We start from the raw sequence: 1,759 nt of genomic DNA on the forward strand, positions 1-1,759 counted from the left end.
TTTCATAATTATGCAAATTATGTATACATTATATATGTGTACACACACATATAATCATACTATTATACATACACAGTTATGTGCTGCTTAACAATGAGGATCTCTTCTGAGAAATGCTTCATTAGGTTATTTCATCGTTGTGTGACCATCAGAGTTACACAAACCGAGGTGGCATAGCCCACTACACACTTACACTATACGGTAGACCCTATCATTCCTAGGCTGCAAACCTGGACCCCATGGTACTGTACTGAATACTATAAACCACTGGGATGCAATGGTAAGTATCTGTGTAGCTAAACATACAAAAGTACAGTAAAAATACTATCATCTTACAGGACCACCATTGTATATGCATCTGCCTTTGACTGAAGTGTCATTGTGTAGCAAGTGAATGTATATTACAATTTAAACAATACATGCCCTCAAGGAATTTTGATATCTCTTTCAAGTCATGTAGATATATAGCACATTTCCAGCTCCCCGAATAGTTTTTTTGCTTATTCAGGAATAATTTTCTAACCTGACCAATTTACATCTTTTGATCCCGTAAACCATAGAAGCTTCTCCCTGTTTTCGGCCCCATCCTGCTGACCTGTCTTAAAGCTAGTCCATGCTGGCTTTCAGCCTTCAACTGCCACTGGGAGTGACAAGGGTTCTGGAAGGCTGGGCTGGCGTGGCAAGGGGAGACTCCCCTGAAAGGAAGAATGTCCCCAGGGAGTGCGGCGTGGCCAGCACATCTTCTCACACTTTATTCCTGCTCTGAAACCCAAGTCAGAACTTCAGTTTCTGGTTTCTTTGAAAGTACTTGGTGAACAAATAAGCAAATAGGGGATAAGGAATGTCCAGTCATTGTTTGAGGATTTTCTGGAATTTGGAGCATTGTTATTTTAGTTGTTTAGAAAAGGCTTTGGTTGCCTGTTTATCATACAGTGCAGGCTCATGAATAACTTCCTGGGGGACTGGCCCACATTCTTGGTCCGGTTGGCGTCTCTTGCCCAGCAAGGCTCATGCCGGGCGTCTTCCCAACATCCTGTCTGGGAATGACCTTCTTTTCTCTGCTTACTAAGCTCCGAGAGTCCTTATTGAAATGACCTCCTGCACAGGAAGGCCTGCTGTGGCGCCTGGCAAGAGAAAACAGCCCTGGTTTCTAGGAAGTCCCACAAATACACGCACACACACACACACTCTGGAAGTCTTGTTAGGAAGAGGTGACATGTTTATGTTCTTCCACGCGTCTGATAAGGAAAACCAGCAGACATTCCAGAATGTACAAAACACGGGTGAGGACAGGTGCAAGGACCACAGCTGGAAACCAGCGAACACAACAAACCGCAGCTGTCTGGGCCATGCCACGCTGGTGTGGGCCAGAGGGGAAACCAAGGGCGTGCGTGTGTCTATGTGTGTCTGCAGATGCACTCAGGCTTAAAAATTAGAAGCCTGCAAAGCCCCCTGCATTTAAGAGAAAAAAAAATAATCATGGAATTTTTCTGGCCATCTAGAAAAAATTTTGCTCTTGCCAAAAATATTCAAAAGCTATCAGGATTTTTTTTTAACTTATCTAAATGATATTAGTGAGTGCAGGGGAATCCCAAACAAAGGGACAGTTGTGTTCTTTAAATTCACTCTTGGTTTTAAACGAGACCTGCTTGAACATAATAAAGAACTTCAAGAAGCCCTCTCACCTTGGTTGAATGATAAAGTGTTTAGAAATAATACCTTCATGATTATCATGTACAAGACATTCATCTTATAAGGA

At 42.5% G+C, this 1,759-nt stretch overlaps 1 annotated feature.

Annotated features, from left to right (window-relative positions):
• Nucleotides 649-1,190: an enhancer, noted in NCBI's record as "NANOG-H3K4me1 hESC enhancer chr6:11609547-11610088 (GRCh37/hg19 assembly coordinates)". NCBI's record gives its function as "activates a minimal SCP1, AML or CMV promoter by ChIP-STARR-seq in naive H9 embryonic stem cells {active_cell/tissue: H9 hESC(naive)}" and the evidence as "EXISTENCE:reporter gene assay evidence [ECO:0000049][PMID:30033119]".

The sequence above is a fragment of the Homo sapiens genome, chromosome 6 (assembly GCF_000001405.40).
Source record: "Homo sapiens chromosome 6, GRCh38.p14 Primary Assembly".
Taxonomy (NCBI): domain Eukaryota; kingdom Metazoa; phylum Chordata; class Mammalia; order Primates; family Hominidae; genus Homo; species Homo sapiens.